The sequence below is a fragment of the Homo sapiens genome, chromosome 8, assembly GCF_000001405.40.
Source record: "Homo sapiens chromosome 8, GRCh38.p14 Primary Assembly".
Lineage (NCBI taxonomy): Eukaryota > Metazoa > Chordata > Mammalia > Primates > Hominidae > Homo > Homo sapiens.
In genome coordinates, this window is record NC_000008.11 from 135,508,657 (window position 1) to 135,530,296 (window position 21,640).

Genomic DNA, 21,640 nt, shown 5'->3' on the forward strand with positions numbered 1-21,640 from the left:
CCCAAAGTTAGTGACTTAAGTCATTACTAACTTGAATTAGTCCGGTGCACTGGTTACCTCGTTTAGTCTGTGGACTTACTATTTATTTGATAAATGCATTGGGTTATATTAAGAATAATCCTCAATTATTTAGAATAGCTAAGGGACTGGTCTGTTTGGGAAGACAGGAACTCCTAGCCTCTTTTTTCCTGTTGTTTAGGTATACTTTCCTGCTTGTCATTTTTGATTTAAGTAAAAACTTAGCCAGTCTTTCTAGCCAGTTTCCGTAAATATTTATTTCAGAACTTTCCTGACTACCAGATAAAAATGAGTCATTAGAAGAGAAACTCACCAGTATTCACCATTGGGACCAATAAATCTGTAGGTGAACCTCAATCTCAGTCATTTGTTGTCCTCACCACTGTGCATAATAGCATGATATAATTTAGTTTGTACTATTGTACATTTATGATGTTTTTATGTTCCTCTTTTACATATCTTAGTAAATGGGGGTCATTAAATGAATACAATTGACTATCCCAATAGAATTCCATATATTTGTTGGAGGTGAAACTTAATTTGTTTCATTGACTTGTTTCTTGGAAGGTTTTATTTTGTTTTGAAGCCAGCTCTTGTAATTTGGTATCTGGGGAAACAAGCAAAACCTTTGAGAGTCGGACAATGCTGGAACCGAACTTTAGTTCTGCCATTTATTAGGTGTGGGAAAAAGGGAGTGGTAATTTCTGTCCCGGCACTCTGAGAAGTTATGAGGACTGAATGTTTATAAAGCCTCCAGTATAGAGTCTAGAATATGATAATTATTCAACTTGTTAGATTCCTTCTACCAGTTTTAGGGAACATCCCATCTTCAATTTCTACTCTTTGGTCCTTATTGTTTTAAAATTTTAACAAACCTATGAAATTTACGCATGTATTTAAAATTGTTAGAATATAGTACCAAAATCCAGTAACCTACTCATTTGTGAAGACCTTTGAGTATTTCCTCTTGTTTAAGGATACATTTATCTCATTGAAGCATTGAATGACTATGTCTTATCTTTGTGTTTCTCTTTCCTGTCATAATGCCTTTCATTTTGTGAATGACTATGTATAATTAAGGAGAAATTAATGTGACAAATGCTACACTGGTAGCATTAGTTTTCTTAAGAATTGTACAAAATTTTAATAATTCTGAGTAGTGTTTGGAATTTTTAAATGTATCTGGATTTGGTTCTCTGGAATCATTTTGGTGTCACAAATTCTTCTTGAAATCCATTCTATAAGATAAGAGCTATTGAGAGATAAACTTAGGTACATTGAAATTTTCTTTCCCCCCCCCTTTTTTTTTTTTTTTTTTGCTTAAAGACCTGAGTCTCTCTCTCTGTGCAGGCTGGAGCGCAGTAGTGCAGGCATAGGTCACTACAGCCTTGACCTCCTGGGCTCAAGCGATTCTCCTGCCTCAGCTTCCAGAGTAGCTGGGACTACAGGCATGCACTACCATGCCTAATTATTTTTATTTTTTGTAGAGACATTGTTCAGGCTGTCTTGAACTCCTGGGATCAAGTGACCCTCTTTCCTTAGCCTCTCAAAGTACTGTAATTACAGGTGTTAGCCACAGTGCCTGGCTAGGCACACTGAAATTGTAATGCCTTTATTTGAGCAGACATGAATTGGGCAGCGTCAGAGCTCAAGTGGTTCAGCGAAGGAGAGTGAGGGCAGAACTTTTATAAAATGTTTGTAGAAACAAGATGAAGAAAATATTTGATTAGTTAAAGTGGAAAGTCCCTAGTTAGAGGATAGTTGATGGTGCTTTTTCTGAGACGGAGTCTCACTCTGTCGCCCAGGCTGGAGTGCAGTGGCGTAATCTCAGCTCACTGCAACCTCCACCTCCTGCGTTCAAGTGATTCTCCTGCCTCAGCCTCCTGAGTAGCTGGGACTATAGGCACACGCCACCATGCCCGGCTAATTTTTATATTTTTAGTAGAGACAGGGTTTCACCGTGTTGGCCAAGATGGTCTCAATCTCCTGACGTAATGACCCACCCGCCTTGGCCTCCCAAAGTTCTGGGATTACAGGCTTGAGCCACTGCACCCGGCCAGTTGATGGTTTTTGATTGGTAGTCTCTAGTTCCAGGTTAGTTGGTGGTTTCTCATTGGTTAAGCTTAAGTATTCTCTTCCTAGTCTGTGGTCATTCACTCTAAGTTGGGTTTCAGTTTGCTTCCGTATGAACCCAAAGCTCTGGAGCCATCTCAGTGTACTGGCCTCCTCTCTTCCCCCCACCTTTTTTAACAGTATAAATAAATCATCACAAATTAGGAATTGTATTTTAAATAAACCTATATTTGCTTTGTGTGTTGTAGTTTCAAAGCACTTTCATAGGCATTTCTTTTGATACTTGTAATAACTTGGTGAGTTTCCCCAAAATGTAATAATCCAAAACATTTTTTCTCACCCCAAATCAAGATCTCTCTGCTACAGTAATACTAAGAAAGTAGAGGAAGCATGGACATAGGAATCAGATAACTTGGGGCTGGAATCCTGAATCTCTGTTGGATGTGGGACTCTAGCTTAGTCACTGGATGTCTATAAATAGTCATCTCCTTTCTGTAAATGAACATTGTATCTACTTTGCAGCAGTGTTGCAGAGATTGACTACTTGGAAGATAGTCGTTAAATAAATTCCAGCTGCTAATATCATTGTAATATTTTTGTTAATTAGCCATGATGGGTAGAATTAATTAATTTCTCCTTCTCTCCATCCTCCTCATTATTATTCTTCCTTTCTTTTCCTCCTGTCTTCCTTTTTGGAAATTTGACTGTCATTTTCTCGTGTGTATGTTTTAATCTTATGTGTTGTATGTATATTTAAGGACATTTTACGTACAAATATTTGCTCTGTTTTTTTGTTTGTTTGTTGTTGTTGTTGTTGTTGTTTTTGGAGACAGTGTCTAGCTCTGTCACCCAGGCTGGAGTGCAGTGGCGCGATCTCGGCTCACTGCAAGCCCCGCCTCCTGGGTTCACGCCATTCTCCTGCCTAAGCCTCCCGAGTAGCTGGGACTACAGGTGCCTGCCACCACGCCAGGCTAATTTTTTTTTGTATTTTGAGTAGAGACGGTGTTTCACCGTGTTAGCCAGAATGGTCTTGATCTCCTGACCTCGTAATCCGCCCGTCTCGGCCTCCCAAAGTGCTAGGATTACAGGCGTGAGCCACCGCACCCAGCCCTGCTCTGTGTTTATAAAAATCAGTTTTCCAAGCATTTGTAATATTTAGAGTATCGAGTGTTTCTTTCTCCCTAGATGGTATATTTATGCGTATTTATGATGAGCTTATTTGTCCTTATTAGACTGATATGTGTCTCTACTCTGCTTTGCCATTTGTTCATGGAATATTACTTGCAAGATTAGGCACTGTATGAATCAATCTAGTTTGGGTAGTTATAGTGTGTTCAACTCTGGTTTGAATGTAATGAGGATTCAGTTAGGTTTGGATTGCTTAAATAAAATAATTCTTTAGTGAAAACATTTGTCATGTTGGAGGTTAAAAAATTCCTTTTCAGATTAGCAGCTACAGTAACATTTTAGTAATTTGTCCAATAGAATTTACGATGGCTGTAAATACTCTTTATATTTCTTTTAAAAACAATTTAAATACTCCAGCTGGACTGTTGTACTATTTTGAAATCGATTTCTGAATGTTGAGCATCTTATATGAGCTTCTCATTTTATTATAGATTTGGGCCAATGCCTGTCCTTTAATTAAACTTTACACAAGAGTTAAGGTGTTTGGAAAAGTCGGGGGGGGGGTAATAACTCTATTGATCTTATTAATTTCCACACTAGTAGGTCATTGTGCAGGCTGATTTGAATTATTCAGTTATTTTCTGACCCTTTTATGAACTTCTATTAATAGTTCTTATAAAACAAGTTACAGTTTTTAGAAGAGCAGTTTTCAGCAGTGACTGCTAGCTAACTCTTTACAAACTCACTATACTCCTTTAAATTATTTTAAACATTCATTCATTCATTTATTCAACCATTTAGTAACCATTTGTGCAGCCATTATCCTAAATCACTATGCTAAGTGTTAGAATATAACAAAAATGAATAAATAGATGTTCTTAACCTTCCATGAGCTTACCATCTTGTTGTTGGGCACAGGAAGTGTGAACAATGAGTATATGAAAATATATTCTGTTGTGGTACAAGTTTTATACAGCAAAACAGGTCATTGTGAAGGATATTATCAATTCATCTGTGGGGTGAAGGGGAAGTTGATGTTTTAATTAAGAGCTGGAGGCTAGGCGCAGTGGCTCACACCTGTAATCCCAGCACTTTGGGAGGCCGAGGCGGGCGGATGACAAGGTCAGGAGATCGAGACCACGGTGAAACCCCGTCTCTACTAAAAATACAAAAAATTAGCTGGGCGCAGTGGCAGGCACCTGTAGTCCCAGCTACTCAGGAGGCTGAGGCAGGAGAATGGCATGAACCCGGGAGGCGGAGCTTGCAGTGAGCCGAGATTGCGCCACTGCACTCCAGCCTGGGCAACAGAGCAAGACTCCGTCTCAAAAAAAAAAAGAAAAAAGCTGGACACAGACTTGCAATTTCTAGGTTGCTCAAGAGATATAAAGTTAAATTAGATAAAATCTCACCCCTCAAGAACTTACTGTCTAGTATAGGCATGTACGGTATTTGGCAAATGCCTATATAGAACTTAACTGGACCAGGTATTGTTGTTCTTTGCAAATATTAAATTATTTAATCCTCATAAAAACCCTATGGGGGGCAGGCGCTGTTATTTCTACATTTCTTTGATGAGGAAATTGTGACTTATAAGTTACTTTCTGACAGCCATATAATTAAGTACCATAGCAGGGATTCAAACTCAAGCAGTTGGAGTCTGGCTGCATTATTTCAAAGACTCTTACTCTCTGAGGTTTTATGTTTTTGTTTTTTTTTACTGAGAAAGTTCTTCTTATTACTTAGCCGTTAAGAATTCAACAATCAGCAGTGTTCAAAAGGTGTCTTGGATGCAGAAAGTGGACCCTTTTGCCATTATTTTTATCTCTTCAATTTTGGGGGCCAGAGTACCAATTTTTACCTTAACTTAAAACCATGGAAATTGACCGGTTACATTAGGGTATAACCATGCAGGACCTTGGAGTATTTTTTGATTTAATCATCTTAGGCTTCAGTGACTAAAGAGCTATAGTCATGTCTCCTCTGCCCCTCTTTTTTTTTTCCTTCATCTACTTTATGCAAAGATTGCTTCTGTTTGACTCCTTTGTACTCACTTAACTCTGTAATTTGCTTATTTTGATGTTAGTGGAATTTATATTTTCATTTGGATTTGGACCTAGAACTGTCTCCTGATATCACACAAAATTCCTTCAGCCGTTCCTTTAAGTCCACTTTGAGAGCTCACTAAAGATCACCAGTACTGAGGTTCTGTAATTTCAAGCTGTTCTCTATACATTGAAGCAGTGCTTCCCGCAGAATGACTTGGCTGTAGGAGAATAAAGTGAAGGGATAAGCAGATGTGGCTACATTAAGAACGTCCAATGCTTGTGATTTACAGCTTTAGAACATTTTCACATCTCACTTCAGGAAAGAAGGAAAAAAGAGATTAAAGGGTGTAGTCTTTAATTATTTACAATAGCTAAGAGGTGGAAACACTCCAAATATCTGTCAACCAATGAATGGATAAACAAAATGTGTTATATAGCTACAGTGGAATATTATTCCGCCTTAAAAAGTAAGGAGATACTGCCACATGCTGCCCCGTGGATGAGCCTTGAGGGCATTATGCTAAGTGAAATAAGCCAAGCATGGAAAGACAAATACTGTATGATTCCTCTTATATGACACAGCTAAGCAGTCACATTTATATAAACAAAATAGAATGGTAGTTACCAAGGGCTGAGGGGAAGGGAAAATGGGGAGTAGTTTAATGTGCATAGGGTTTCACTTGTGTGAGACAAAAAAGTTCTGGACATCTGTTGCACGACAGTGTGGATGGACTGAACAGCACACTTAAAAATGGTTGACTATAAATTTTATGGTTTTTTTTAATAACAGTTTAAAAAATAAAAGGTATGGGCTTGAAGTCAGATATATCTAGATTTGAATTCTGACTGTGCTATTAGCTCTCTAACCTTTGCAAACTTCTTAACCATTTCAGTCCTCAGGATCTCACTGTAAAATGCAGGCGGCAGATCATATATTTGTTAGCATAAAGAGATAATTTAAGTCAAACACACAGCCCTGTACTTCATGAGTCATCATCAACAAAGTAATAATTATAATTTAATTACTGCTGGTATAAGTGACCCCTAAAATAATTTTCATTATTTTTCAATATTTTGCTGTGTAAATTTATGTATGGTGAGCTCAGATGGATATTTTTGTATGTAAAGGAGGTATTAGAAATTCTTTTTAAAGATTCCTTGTGGGGCTGGGCGCGGTGGCTCACGCCTGTAATCCCAGCACTTTGGGAGGCCGAGGCGGGCGGATCACGAGGTCAGGAGATTGAGACCATCCTGGCTAACACGGTGAAACGCCGTCTCTACTAAAAATACAAAAAATTAGCCAGGCGTGGTGGCGGGCGCCTGTGGTCCCAGCTACTGGGGAGGCTGAGGTAGGAGAATGACGTGAACCCGGGAGGCGGAGCTTGCAGTGAGCCAAGATCACGCCACTGCACTCCAGCCTGGGCGACAGAGCGAGACTCCGTCTTAAAAAAAAAAAAAAAAAAAAAAAAAAAAAAAAAAAAAGATTCCCTGTGTTTGCTAAAGATGAGGGGTTGGAGTTTTATTGTTGTCGTTGTTGATTTTTTTTTGTTTTTGCCTTATCAGGTCCTCTTTCCACCCTTCCTACTCTGCTCTGTGCCCAGAGGCTGATATGCATGGTACAAGACCTGTATCATAGATATATTTACCCTCTGGCTTTGAGCTGGGTTAAGAGCTATCCACTAGTGGTCAATAGCAGAAGCTTGGCAGGAGAGAGAAGTGAGCTCAAAGTGTATATTTGCTTTGGCCCTTGCTGCTGTGTCACCACAAATTAACTGCTTTCCTGTGTGCAGTCTGTAGCCCCATCAGGCTACCATATTAGTCTGTTTTTCTTTTCCTTTCCTGGCCCCTGCATGCCATTTTAGATGGGTAAAATATTCACGTGGTTAAGAGATTTAAAGCAGTGCAAAAAGAGATACAGTGAAAAGTATTTCTGTACCCTATCTACTTTGTCCTCTCCATGCCAAATAGATAACTAGTTTCTTATACTGTCTTTTGTTGCTTAACCACAGGAATGTGTGTTCTGAGGAATGCATCCTTAGATGATTTTGTTGTTGTGGACCATGATAGATTGCACTTAAACATACCTGGATGGTGCAGCCGGCTTGCTGTACACATAGGCTAGGTGATATAGCCTGTTGCTGCTAGGCTACAAACCTAGACAGCATGTTGCAAAGCCAGAGTACATGTTACCATACTGAGTACTGTAGGCAGTTGTAACACAATGGTAAGTATTTTGTGTATTTAAACATAGAAAAAGCACAATAAAAATACAGTGCAAAAGACAAAACATGGAATACTTGCATAGGACACTTACCATGAGTGGAGCCTGTGGAACTGGAAGTTGCTCTGGGTGAGTCAGTGGTTGAGTGGTGAGTGAATATGAAGGACTGGGTCATTACTGCACACTTTTATACATCTGGCAGCATGGAAGGTTTGTTTACACTATCATTGCCACAAACATGTAATGCTTTGTGCTGCAAGGTTACCACAGCTAAGCCATTACTAGGCAGTAGGAATTTTTCAGCTTCATTATAATCTTACAAGACCACTGTCATATATGTTGACTGTAATGTCGCTACATGATGTAAAACTGTATATCAATAGGGAGATGTTTTCTGTGTGTATATAAGTAAACATTTGTTTCTTACATTGTGTGTGTGTGTGTGTGTGTGTGTGTGAGTAAACAGTGCATTTGGTACCGATCTTTGACTATCAGAACATGAAGTTTCCTCATTTTGTGCAGTAGCCACATGCTATTTTATTCCAGGGTGTGCTCTAGCCTACTTACCCAGCTCCTGTTGATAAGACATTTAGGTGGTTCCCAGTGTTTTGCTATTAAAGACAATGCAGTAGTGGATAATTTTGTGAGTAATATTCCACATCTATCTAAGTATATATGTAGGTTAAATTTCTAGAAATGAAGTTGCTAGAACAAAGGAAAAATAATCTGTGTGTTTGATTATATGAGAGAAATGAAGCTACTTTAAAAATTTTACATTACTAAAATTTTTATATTGGAAACTTAACTTATTTAAATGCAAAGATTATTTAGCTATTTTTAGAATATTAGTGGACTTTAGTATATCTGGTACCTTAAAAAGGAAAAGAGGCCATTGCTTAGGAAGTTCTGTACTAGACCAAAGCAAAACAAATGAACAAACAAAAAACAATACAGATATTATTACTGAAAACAAGAATTCTGCAGTGAGAGGTTTGGTGTACATGGTTTGAAAACATAGCATTTTAATCCCCTACATTATCTAAAACCTTAATCACACATTTGCTTATTATTTCTGAGCTAGGAGATGGTATTGGTACCTTAAGCTGTTTGGTACCAAATGTAATCTGGGGATTAGTGAAAGTCAAATCCCCTATGCATTCGTCCTTGAAAATCTGATTGGGTTTTCTCTATTGGTGGCCTCACTTTGCCACAGTTAACTAGAGGGTCACATCCATCTTGGTGGATCTCAAGCATCTTTCCTCCCTCGGGGAAGATGAGAGCGGTAGTAGCAGGGGTTTTTGAATATGCAACTCTCAGTTAGGGACAGGCATAAATCCTTGAGACAGCTGTCTCAAGATTTCGTAGATAATTTTGTGCAATTCTCCATTTTATGTATTTCTGGATTTCAAAAAAAAATTAAGCTACTTATAATGCTCATTCAAGTAGAAAATAAAAATTGTTGATTGAACAGCATCTGCTAAAAACAAGAAAAGTTTTAACCAGTTTTGAATTGTATATTGGAAGGCACAAGGGCCTGAGAAAAGTACAGCATTCATGATTTAAACCAGGTCTGTTTGACTCCCGCGATGGGGCTCAGGGCTCTTTGCATTGTTGTGTGGTGCTTTAGGCTTGTTAAATGCAAACCTATATGCTTCTGATATGGCATCAGGCTTAAAAAATTTAAAAAAAATCTTAAAATATTCCAACATCATTCAAAATTTAAGATAGAAACAGTGCATTCTAGCAACTTAAGATTTGTAGGATGCTGTGTATATGTAGAGAGGAAATTAGATATTTTATATAGATTTTCTTTCATTTTCCTTTTTAAAATAACAGATGATCTGAAACTGTAATATGTGATAAAATACTTAATTCCTAATTTTTAAAAGCTTACCTATATGATTTTCTTACGACAAAATGTTAAGTGACACTGACACAAGGGAAAACGTGTGGAATTCTGAATTAATGGATTTAAATATTGTACATCTGGTGTGAGTTTTCAACAATTACTAAACTACTTTGTTTTTTTTTGTTGTTGTTGTTGTTTTTGAGACGGGGTCTTGCTCTGCTGCCCAGGGTGGAGGTGCAGTGACACGATCTCACCTCACTGCAAGCTCCGCCTCCCGTGTTCATGCCATTCTCCTGCCTCAGCCTCCCCAGTAGCTGGACTACAGGCGCCTGCCACCACGTCCAGCTAATTTTTTGTATTTTTTAGTAGAGACGGGGGTTTCACCTTGTTAGCCAGGATGGTCTCAATCTCCTGACCTCGTGATCCACCCGCCTCGGCCTCCCAAAGTACTGGGATTACAGGTGTGAGCCACCACGCCCGGCCTAAACTACTTTGTCAATTGAAAAGGAGGCAGTTGAATCTATTTTGACACACATACACATACCATACAAAAAAAAATTTTAGGACGTTTCAGTGTACCTGATTTTGTTGAATCGTCTAACTATGCCAAAGGTATTTCTAATTATTGCATAAATAGATAATGAAGGGTGGGATTTATTTTCTTCTAATTAAAGCTGAAGTCATGAATTGTTATACCCGGAGCAGCTGATGTGAGACTTACTGCTCTTTACTGAAGAAAACAAAACCAGTGTAGCTCATTGATACCATTGGTGCTACAATTTTCAAACTGTGTGTGTGTGTGTCAATTCTATTCATGGAAAATTTCTGAAAGAGTATATAAAAACAGTTGATTACAATTATTTCTGGAGTTGAAGTGATAGGAGAAACCTTAAAAAAATTTTATATCCTGTCATATTGTTTTAAATTGTTACCATGTTCATGTATTATTTTTATAGAAAAAATCAATAAAATTAAAGGTACTCTTCTATTTCTGTGTATATTTTTCCTTTACAGGTTCCACTTAAAATTAATTTTTCAGGATCAAAACATAGTGTAGTACAAGAAAGCAGACAAAATGACAAATTCATTTATTTGGTGACTTAGTCTTTATCTCTTCTTGGAAGCTTTGATTAGAAGCTGCAGATATAATTTGCTATTTCCTTCTCTTAGCCATCCTTTCTTATCTTCAGTTTCTACCCTGCTTCCTTCCGTCTCCCCCATCTCATCGCTCTTAATCCCTATTGTATAGTGTTTTCAGACACTTACCAATTCTTTGATGCCAGCTGTGTATCCAGTGATTCAATTCTGAAGCTAACTGCGGGAGTTAGCGTCAGGCCTCCTCCCCTCCCCACAGATCAAGGGCTTAATCCCACAAGACTGCTGACACTTCAGGTGCCAGCCACAATGTAATGCTCCGGCTACCCAGATTTCTGCCTAACTACAAATTTGGAGGCTCCAGGATCCTTCCTCAGGTTTGGTAATTTGCTATAATGACTCACAGAACTCAGGAAAGCACTTTGCTTACTGTTAGTGACCAAAGTTTCATCAAGGAGTGAGAGGCTTTGTCAGCATTTGTAAGTCACATGAGATCCTAAGGTTTTAGAACCAAATCGTTGGATATTCTAGTTCCCTTTTCTCATTTTAAACTTGAAGAACCTGCATCCTAACTGATATACTGTTTTCTAATTGCAAAGACAATTATTAGCAGATCTGAGACGAGAATCTAGAATTTTTATGTCCCATTTAGTGTCCTTTAAATTGTAATAATTCTTTGTTGCTCATTCAAAACCTTTGTTTAATAGACAATCATTTAGTTCGAAATGGGAGGCTGCATATTAGGATGGAGTGAAAGCTCCTCCGTGGTATTATGAAGCCCATTGGCTGTTTCAGTGGTGACAGAAGCCCCAGGCCCAAAGCCTCTAGCTTAAATAAATCTTTCATTTATCCCAAGATACTGTAAAAATCTTTCTTACTTGTTTTTCTGATATGACATAAAAATGGTGGGAGAGACTGCACAGGCACCTTGTCTTTGGAGCCAAACAAATCTGAGGGTAAATCTTAACCTTTGCCATTTATTGTGAAGTCACCTCTTTGAACCTCCTCTTTGTCATCTGTCTTGAGGATTGAATTATGTCATGAATGTGAGATATGTTGTTCAGGGATGGCACATATTAAATTCTTAAATGTTCCTAGCTTAACAAGCAAAATGGATAAATACGTGTATTCCTTTGTACAGCTGATGACGTCTTTGATACCTTCTCCAGGCTGTTCTTTATCCTTCTCTGAACCTGGGTGTCTATAGGTTGGTGCTTGGAGGTAACAGTACTCATTCATTCAGCATTCATGCAAGCACCTAATTTTGTATCTCTTGTGCAACCAAATACTATGGGCCATAGGGTGGATGAAATTTTATGCTAAAATTTTCTAGGATCTGGAACTTGCTTAGTTTAAGATATTTAAGAGTGAATAAATAGATTTTTACCTAAGAGAAATTTATGTTCCAGAGGGAGAGGTAGCACATTTTTTTTTCCATCTAAGGGTAGCAGTAGAGTTGCACGTAAAGTGCTTTGTGAGTATCAAGGTGAGAGTGATTGATTCTTCCATTCTTGCCACCCCATTGAGGAAAGAAACACTTGCACAGAAAAGGAGATTTAATGTGGTTGAGTCTCGAAAGGAGATGAAGATGAAATCATCATAACAAGTAGAGCGAAGAGCATTAGTAAAGACATTAGCATATAGTTGATATGTGTCACATGCAAGGAGGGAAGATTTGATTGGGGAGGTGGGCTACTGGAAGGTTGTCTAGGGTGTTTAATGCCATCGTAGAATCAGTTCTTGGTTGTAGAAGCCTTGAAAAGCCAGGCAAGATTGGTAACTAGGGATGTTTCAGCACTTTGTATCACTGAACTGTGAATACTTAATGGCTTTTCTTCTTTATTTGATCAGCCTTATCTAGTTATCCAGAAGACCTGAAGTAACTTATTTTTGTGTTGTTTATCTGGTCTGTTTTTCTCCTCTGTTGGTATGAGCAGTTGAGATTTGACTTTGTAGAGCCATGATACATGCATTTATTCCATTTATGAAGAATCATTGATGAAACCGGAAATGTACTTGAAAACATTTGCCTCAATTTAATAGTCCATACTTCAGTAGTAGTTGATTTCATGCCACTACAGAGCTAACCAGAACACCCAGCCCCTGCATTTCTGAGTCATACACTTCATGGTTATCTTTTTGCCTCCACAGAAATAGAAAAGTTTCAAAAAGGAGAAGGCAAGGATGAAGAAAAGTACATCGATGTGGTGATTAATAAGAACATGAAGCTGGGACAGAAAGTGTTAATTCCCGTAAAACAGTTCCCTAAGGTAAGACAGTGAGGTCTACACTGCAGGTATTTTAACCTGAATCAAAGGGGAGCAGATGTTTAATTTATATTCTGTTTGGTGTTTTTAGAGATGTTTTCTCTTAGCATCCCCCTACACACACTTTTAAAGTTAATTAAAAACTTAGTAAATTTATTCATTCTGTCTTTTCCCTTTAGTGTGAGTTACAGATTCCTGAAAATATATCCTTTTGAGTCAAACTAGCAGTGTGACTTTGGGAAGCCTCTTCAACTTCTTTCCACTTCAGTTTCCTCATTTGTAATATGAGGTTGGATGGTTTAAAATTACATGAGATAATCTGTGTTAAATGCTTGGTACATAAAGGTTCAAAAATATCATTGTTTATGTTTTATTTAAATGCTATTTTTCTTTTGTCTTCTGAATGTTCATATACATGATTCTTGCATACTGTTGTGTGTATTAGTAGTTCATTTCTTTTTATTGATGAATAATAATCTGTTACCTGAATATATCATTGTTGTTTATCCATTTGTCTAGGCACTTTTAATTTTTTGGTTATTATAAATTAAATTTCTCTGAACAGTTTTATACAAGTTGTTTCCTTTTCTTTTTCTTTTTTTAACGTTGTATTTTGTTTTAAGTTCTGGGATACATGTGCAGGACGTGCAGGTTTGTTACATAGGTAAATGTGTGCCATGGTGGTTTGCCCCATCACCTAGGTATTAAGCCCCACATGCATTAGCTATTTATCCTGATGCTCTCCCTCCCCCTGCCCCCATGACAGGCCCCACTGTGTGTTGTTCCCCTCCCTGTGTCCGTGTGTTCTCATTGTTCAGCTCCCACTTATCAGTGAGAACATGCAGTGTTTGCTTTTCTGTTCCTGTGTTAGTCTGCTGAAGATAATAGCTTCCAGCTCCTTCCATGTCCCTGCAAAGGACATGATCTCATTCCTCTTTAGGGCTGCATAGTATTCCATAGTGTATATGTACCACATTTTCTTTATCCAGCCTGTCATTGATAGGGATTTGGGTTGATTCCATGTCTTTGCTATTTGTACAAGTTGTTTCATAACCAGATATGTTTGTTACTCTTTATTAAATACGCAGTATTGAAAATTGTTGTGTATTTAGTATTACAAGAAATTGTCATACTTTTTTCCAAAGCACTTATACCTTGTACCATTTCCACAAACAATGTGTGCAGGCTGTAGCTGCCTCATACCCTCATCAGTATTTGGTGCTGTCAGCCTTTTTTATTTTAGCTTTTGATGGTATATTGGTATCTTCCTGTGGTATGAAGTTGCATTTACCTTATGATTGATCATTTTGTGCAATTTTTCATATCCTTATTGGCTATTCATGTATTTGAATCTTGAAATCTTTGCCAACCTCAAGGAAATGTTAGAGTTCTTTATAAGTTATACTCTTCTGTATTTTCTCTAAAAGTGTTATTGTAGCTTTTACTTTTAGGTCTATGATAGATCTCAAATGAATTTTTGTATATGGTATGAGATAGAGGCTCAAGTTCATCTTTTTTCCCATATGGTTATCTAGTTTTTCTTGCACTATTTGTTGAAAGATGTTTCCCTCCACTGATTGTTTTGGTGCCTTTGATGAGACAATCAGGTGAGCATGTAAGTGGGGGTATATTTCTAAGCTTTTAGTTCACTTCTTTTAATCTATTTATGAATCCTTATGCCAGTACCACACTGTCTTGATTACTATAGGCTTTTACATAGTGAGACATGAGTTTAGGTAATGTAGTTCCTCCACCTTTGTCCTTCTTTTTCAGGATTACTTAGATACTTTAGATCCTTTACAATTACATATAAATTTAAGAATTTCTTTGTTAATTACTACAAAACCATCTGCTGGGATTAGAATTGCAATCGCATTGCATCTGTTGAGCAATTTGTGGGAGATTTGACATCTTAACAATATTGAGTCTTCCCTTTAATTTCTATCAACAGCGCTTTGTACTTTTTAAGATAGGAGTTTTGTATGTCTTTTGTTAAACTTATTCTTAAATATTTTGTGTTTTTGACACTATCGTAAATTGAATATTTTTAAATTTCTATTTTCCAGTTTTTTTTCTAATATAAAATTTTGTATGTTAACCATGTCTCCTGCTACCTTGCTAAATTTAAATTCACTTATTCTAGTAAGTTGTTTTGTAGACTTCTTAGGATTTGTCATGCACATCATTATACCATTTGCTTAAATAGTTTACTTCTCCCTTTCCAGTTTCTATGCATCTTATTATTTTACTTGCATTATTTTGGCTAATATCTCCAGTGTAATGCTGAAGACAAATGAGGAGAGTAGGAATTATTCCTGTTTCTAATCAAGGAGGAAAGCATGCAGTTATTTTAACATTAAGAACAATATTAGTTACAGGTTTTTTTGGTAGATTTCATTTGCTAGGTAGAGGAAGTTCCCTTCTGCTTCAGTTTTACTGAGAGTTCTGATCCTCGGTGGTAAATTTTTTTGAATGCTTTTTCTACATCTATTGAAATAAACACAATGTATTTCTCTACACTGTTTATATGGTAGATTTTAATGATTGATTTTTAAAACTAAAACCTTTGTATTCTTGGGTTAAACCCTACTTAATAGTGATATATTATCTGTTTTATATAGTGCTGGATTCGGTTGCATCTTATTTTAATGAGTGATACTGACTTATACTATTTTTTTTTTGAGACAGAGTCTCACTCTGTTGCCCAGGCTGTAGTGCAGTCACGCGACCTTGACTCACTGCAACCTCCATCTCCTGGATTCAAGTGATTCTCATGCCCCAGTCTCCCGAGTAGCTGGGATTACAGACATGCACCACCATGCCTGGCTAACATTTGTATTTTTGGTAGAGATGAGCCTTCTCCATGTTGACCAGGCTGGCCTAATGTGATTTGCCCACCTCTGCCTCCCAAAGTGCTGGGATTACAGGCAGAAGCCACCACTCCCAGCCTGACCTGTACATTTTTTAAAATAATATTTTTGTCAGATTTTAATGTTAGTGTTATGCTAGTTTCATAAAATGACTTGGGAAGTGTTTCTTTCCATTTTCTCAGAGAACATATATCAGATTGGTGTTACTTATTCCTAAATATTTGATAGATTCACCAGTGAAGCAATCTGGGCCTGGAGTTTGATAATGAATTCAGTATCTTTGGTATGACACTAGACAGATTTCCTATGACATCTTTCGTGAAAATTTGTTTTTAAAAGGATTTGTACATTTTATCATAATATTTCAGTTACTACTTCAATTCTTTTTCTGATCGTTTCTCCTCTCATTCTTTTGAGATTTCAGTTACACATATTTCAGCCTTTTGTCACTCTCACAAAAGTTTCTGTGGCTCTGTTTTTTTTTTTCCTGTCCTTCAGATTTTATAACTTTTACTGCTGTATCTTAAACTCATTGATTCCTTTCTGTTCTCATTTTGCTATTAACCCACCAAGTAATTTTTTTATATCAGGAATCATAATTATCTGTTTCAGAATTTACATTTGAATCATATATACATGTATGTATGTAAAAATATTTTTTTCTCTCTTGGGATTTTCTATTTTTTAATTCATTGCAAGTGTTATTTTCCTCTCTGTCACTGAGTACGGTTAAATAGGTCCTTGAACATCTCTGTCTACTAATTTCTAAGTCTTCTAAGTCTTGGCCATCTTAGATTTATTTTGCACTGGGAGTCTTTTATCTTGATGAAGAGCCATATTGCTTCAGCCCTTTGCATTTTGAGTAATTTTGGATCGTATGCTGGCTATTGTGAATGTACATTGTAGAAACCTTGGATTCTGTTACTTTCGCGGAAGAATTTTGATATTTTTGTTTTAGCAGCTAATTAACTTGGTTGGATTCAGGGTATAAACTGTGTCTATTGGGTAAGAGTTCAAGTCTCAGTTCATTTCTTTCCTTAGTTTGGCTTTTTGTGTCTAATTTTTGTCACGTGATTCAGAGGCCAGCCAGAGATTTCAGAAGATTTTATACATAATATTTGGTTATCTGCAACTCTGACCGTCTTTTCTAGTATTCCCCCCTCACATTTCAGCACTATGGTTTTCTCAGTCTCTGCCACTAAAGCCAAAAGCTCTAAAATGAGTAAATTCACCCCAGGGTATTTCCTTTGCTGAAGTCATAACTTTCTTTCAGAATCTGCCTGTTTTCGATCAGTCTTCAGTGCTTCAGACAGTTAACTTTTATATTTTGCTGTGAGTTTAGGAGTTTACAGTTGATATTTATAGGTGGGCAGCCTGTTAGGAATGTTCTCAGCCATACCTGCAGAACTCAGGGGAATATATGTGTCTTGTAAACAGAAAATTACGTTACAAACATTTCATAGACAGACTCATTACTCAAACAAAACATGACTGGTGGAAACCTTTGTATATTGATTCTTTGTGCTCAATATGCTCTGTATACTTAATATGCAATAGATAGAAAGATGACCAGATTATAGACCCTGTCTTTAAGTAGTTCATAGTCTAGTTGATGATGATTAACCTGAAACTAATACTTTGTTGTCTCCAAGTTTGTAAATGAAATAAAATAAAGTGCAGTCATGTGCTGCATAGTGATTTCAGTCAGTGATGGACTGCATATATGATGGTGATCCCATAAGATTATAATACTGTATTTTTGCTGTATCTTTTCTATGTTTAGAAATATAAATATTTACCATTGTGTGACAATTGCTTATAGTACTTAGTACAGTAGCATGAGGTACAGGTTTGTAGCCTAGGAACAATAGGCTATACCATATAGCCTAGGTATACAGTAGGATATGCCATCTAGGTTTGTGTAAGTGTACTCTTTGATGTTTGCACAATGAGGAAATCACCTGACAATGCATTTCTCGGAATGTGTTCACATCATTATTGACTCATAACATCAATAAAGTGTACGAAATAAAATCTCAAATATTGTTTTTCATTGTCAGCTTTGAGGTAAGGGAAGAAAAATTATAATATTTAAATTATAATTTAAAATTTAATTTAAGATTTAAATTATAATTTAAAAATTATAATTTCTGTGTTTGAGATTAGAGTCCATTTCAAGTACTTACAATGTCTGAAGTAGACCATTTAGAAGTTACTGCTTTCAGGATACTGAAAAACAATATTTCTGCTTAGCATAATGGAGCATACAGGTTTCAAGCCAGCCCTGTTTCAAGCTAATATAGCACTGCAATCAGTCCTAAGAAGAAGCTTTCATGCTTGTGTCAGTTAATAGAATGAACTGGAGGAAACGAAATAGCTGGAATAGCTGTGAGTAGAGAATAGTGTAGTGTGGAATTAATGCTGATGGTACACTTCCAGCTTCTGGGGCAAGAGAGAACTACTGTTTGTGAAACTCCATCTGATAAAGTGATTTCCATTAATTGAATAATTTCTCTTCTGTTAATGAACCATTTTCAACACTCTTTCAATGGCACAGCATTGGACACAGGAATCATTTAGTGTTCAGACCTTAATGTATATTCACTCTCTTGAGTTATGTATCTGAGCTTATAAAGGGTGAAATTCTAAATGCTGTTTTATGATTTTTTTAGAAGTTTTTTTTAGAAGCTATGGAAATTGTTCTCCATGGGTTTTTTTTTTTTGCAGATAAACCTTAACCTCTGGTGCTGATCAGCGCCAGCTTGGAACATGGTCAATATAAACCCCAAATCAACATTGGAACAAGGTACCCTGTCTTTGAGGACCTACAGATACATTATGGTTTAGGGTTTACATTTATTTTTTTATTCATTGGTTCATCCGTCAGTGGATCCGGCTCTGTCTATACCTAGCATTTATAAAGAGTCTTCTCTGAGCCAGACATTGTTCTGGGAAAATCGAAGTGGTTAAGTCATGGTCTTTGGGCTAAAAAACTGCCAGTTTTTTTTGGTGAATGCAGATGAATAAGTTAATATTAATAATACAGGTTGCCCTGAAAGAACAAAGAAGAGGATCCTGGTGATAGGCTCAGAGAAGGCTGCTCTAAGGAGGTTGTCTCTAAAGAGTCTGGCTGGCTGGGGTCAGAAGTGAGATAGTGAAATTGAAGGGTGGTGACAGAGGAGCACTATATTGAAGCACAGAAGGCATTTGGGGAATTACAAGCCATTTAATTTGACTAGACAGATTTTTATAGAAGACATAAATGAAGTTGTAAGGGAGCAGAATGTGGGTGGCATTGGCCAAAGGTCCTGCAAAGTTAAAGTAGAGAATGACATTTGAACTGTTTTAGACGATGAGGCTTCTCCAGGTGCTTAATGATGGCAAACTATTTCAGGAGAGGGAATGCCACATGCATAGTCATGCTGGAGTGAAAGAATGCTTAGGGACCATTTTAAAAAGTGAGTTGTAATATGACATTAAATACGTTATATCTCTATGTATAATGCTCTGTTTTAAGTGTCTGTGCTATAATATTAAGTGAAAAAAGAAAAGTCAAGATACAGAAAATCCAGAATCCAAGTTGGGGAATTATTTGAAAAAGCGAACCAGAATCTTAATAGCAGTTGTTTTCTGGAGTATAGGTTTTCGTGATATTTTTCTACTTTACACGTTTCTGTACATGAATGTTTTAATAACTTAGTGTAACCTTTATTAATATAAAAACATTTTCCATTTTTTGGGCAAAATGTGCCTGAGGTTTTTACTCAGGAGGTATTTTTGTACTGTGATTGTGATTCTCAAGGTTTAGTGTGCTATGTTAAGTCTATAAGTTTAAATTAGGTTTATTAAATTTATTAATTTGATAATTGTCCTTTTAGCCTCTAAGCATTCTCATCTGTGTACATACTATCTGCAGTAACTTTGTCTTAACCAGCAAAAGTTTCTTCTGTTAAAAGTTTTTCTAGAATCTGAATGTTGGGAATGTGATATATTTGTTCTCTTCATATAAATGGTTAGGTCAAGGATCTTTGAGAGATAAAACATGTCTGTTCCTGGTGTTTCAGGGAAACTTTCTTTTTTGAAGTGGGCTTGCATTTTTTCCTTGTAGTATGTCATAGACAATTTAAAACCCTTTAAATTACTACTTGGTAGAAGCCTATTCCATGGAAATCATCGTGGATTTACAGATTTCCTAGGATAGGGAATATTTTACAGTCATAGAGATATGTTAAATGTTGCCATTTTTGTTGCTCCTGTTTGATTTTCAGAGACATAATATTTTTTCAGATAATTTATGTGAAAATGATTTTTGATGTTCACGTGGTAATTTACCTCTAGAAATAAAGTGATAATGTACATGTAGGCTAGTTTTTTGTATCCACAGTGCCAAAATTAATTTGGTTGTCTTAGACCTTTGTGGTGCTATAGCAAAACACTGAGACTGGGTCATTTGTAAAGAACAGAAATTTATTTCTTACATTTCTGGAGGCTGGGAAATCTAAGATCAAGCCACCTGCATTTGGTGTGTGGTGGGGGCCCTCTTGCTGCCTCCTCGCATAGTAGTATGCGGAAGAGCAAAAAGAGCCTCAGCTAATTAATTACCTTAGCCCTTTTAAAAGGCTTGAATCCATTCATAGGGGCAGAGTCCTCATGACTTCAGCACTTCCCAAAAGGCCCCACCTCTTAATTACCCCCACAGTGGCCATTTTCAACATGAATTGGAGGGGAAACATTGAAACCATAGCAGCTGGCTAGTTGGGATTTTGAATCTTGTTGACATCAAGGCAGCCTGATATTAAAAATAATCACTTAAGGATACATTTAGTTACTATGAGTCACTCCTAGTATTCATTAAATCTTGGGCCTATGATAAAGTAGAAAGGCCACTATGGATTATATAAATTTAGAGAAACTGGTTGGCGCATAATGGCCATTGTTTTATGATGGACGGTTCTCTTCTACTTTCTCATTTTGTCAACCTACATCTTGTAGTGGGAACTGGAAAGAAGAGAACCGGTAAGCGGCAGCAGGAGGAGTAAATCTTCAGAAGCTACATTTGTCCTGTTCTCAGAGGCTCTGGACTTGGGTCTTGTGACACAGCCCCTGTCTGTGAGAATTGGGAAGTTATTTAGGTTGGTATTTACAAATATGACAGCATTTCAGATGTATTGTGGAGGGAATTAAAATCTTAACGTTTGCTCTCCTTACAGTGCTTGATTATTGAGGCAGAAAGCAACACTTGAACTTAAATTTGAAACTTAAAGTGAAAATAAAATTGAAATTTGAAAATAAAATTTTCAGTAAAATTGAAACTTAAAGTGAAATCCAAAAACAGCCAGGCATATATTGAGGGGTTCCTGAAATAATCTAGTGATATTGTTTGGGGGCATATTATTATCATTGGTGTTATTTTCCTGAGCCAATGAATAATTAAAAATTTGATTATAATCCTTATATATAGGCCTCCTAAAATTTTTATTACATTTAAAAGACTAGAAACAGTCTATTACATGTATGTTTGTCACAAAGCAGTAAATTTAGAAATTAAAGTGTGTGGGCTGGGTGCGGTGGCTCATGCCTGTAATCCCAGCACTTTGGGAGGCTGAGGCGGGCAGATCACGAGGTCAGGAGATTGAGACCACAGTGAAACCCTGTCTCTACTAAAAATACAAAAAAAAATTAGCCAGGCGTGGTGGCGGGTGCCTGTAGTCCCAGCTACTTGGGAGGCTGAGGTAGGAGAATGGTGTGAAACCCGGGAGGTGGAGCTTGCAGTGAGCCGAGATCGTGCCACTGCACTCCAGCCTGAGCCTGGGGGCACAAAGTGAGACTCCCATCTCAAAAAAAAAAAAAGAAATTAAAGTCTGTGATGAATTTTGTTATATTTAACTCTTTAATTACATCTCTGCTTACTTTGAGGGTACATCATAGAGGATATATCTCTATGTCTATTGCTGAACCAAAAAGCAAAAATATTTTTAGTGGTTTAGCAATATACTGCTGGGCTTATATATCTTGGATATTACTATACTGATTATTTTGGCTCTGGGCTCCATAAGGATCACCAAATTGGACCA

General features: G+C 37.0%; 1 protein-coding gene across 15 annotated transcripts in view, besides 1 other annotated feature; it reads left to right on the forward strand.

Moving 5' to 3' along the window:
* Nucleotides 1-21,640, forward strand: part of KHDRBS3 (KH RNA binding domain containing, signal transduction associated 3) — a 199,061-nt gene that overhangs the window by 51,201 nt on the left and 126,220 nt on the right. For all 15 annotated transcript variants that reach the window (XR_242372.3, XR_001745458.2, XR_928287.2 and 12 more), the window contains one exon: nt 12,581-12,699. Coding sequence is in view for 9 of the 15 variants with exons in the window: in XM_047421269.1 (XP_047277225.1) it covers nt 12,581-12,699 (119 nt within the window). In the remaining 6 variants the exon portion in view is untranslated. The remainder of the gene's footprint in view (nt 1-12,580; nt 12,700-21,640) is intronic.
* Nucleotides 10,302-10,958: an enhancer, noted in NCBI's record as "OCT4-NANOG hESC enhancer chr8:136531201-136531857 (GRCh37/hg19 assembly coordinates)". NCBI's record gives its function as "activates a minimal SCP1, AML or CMV promoter by ChIP-STARR-seq in primed H9 embryonic stem cells {active_cell/tissue: H9 hESC(primed)}" and the evidence as "EXISTENCE:reporter gene assay evidence [ECO:0000049][PMID:30033119]".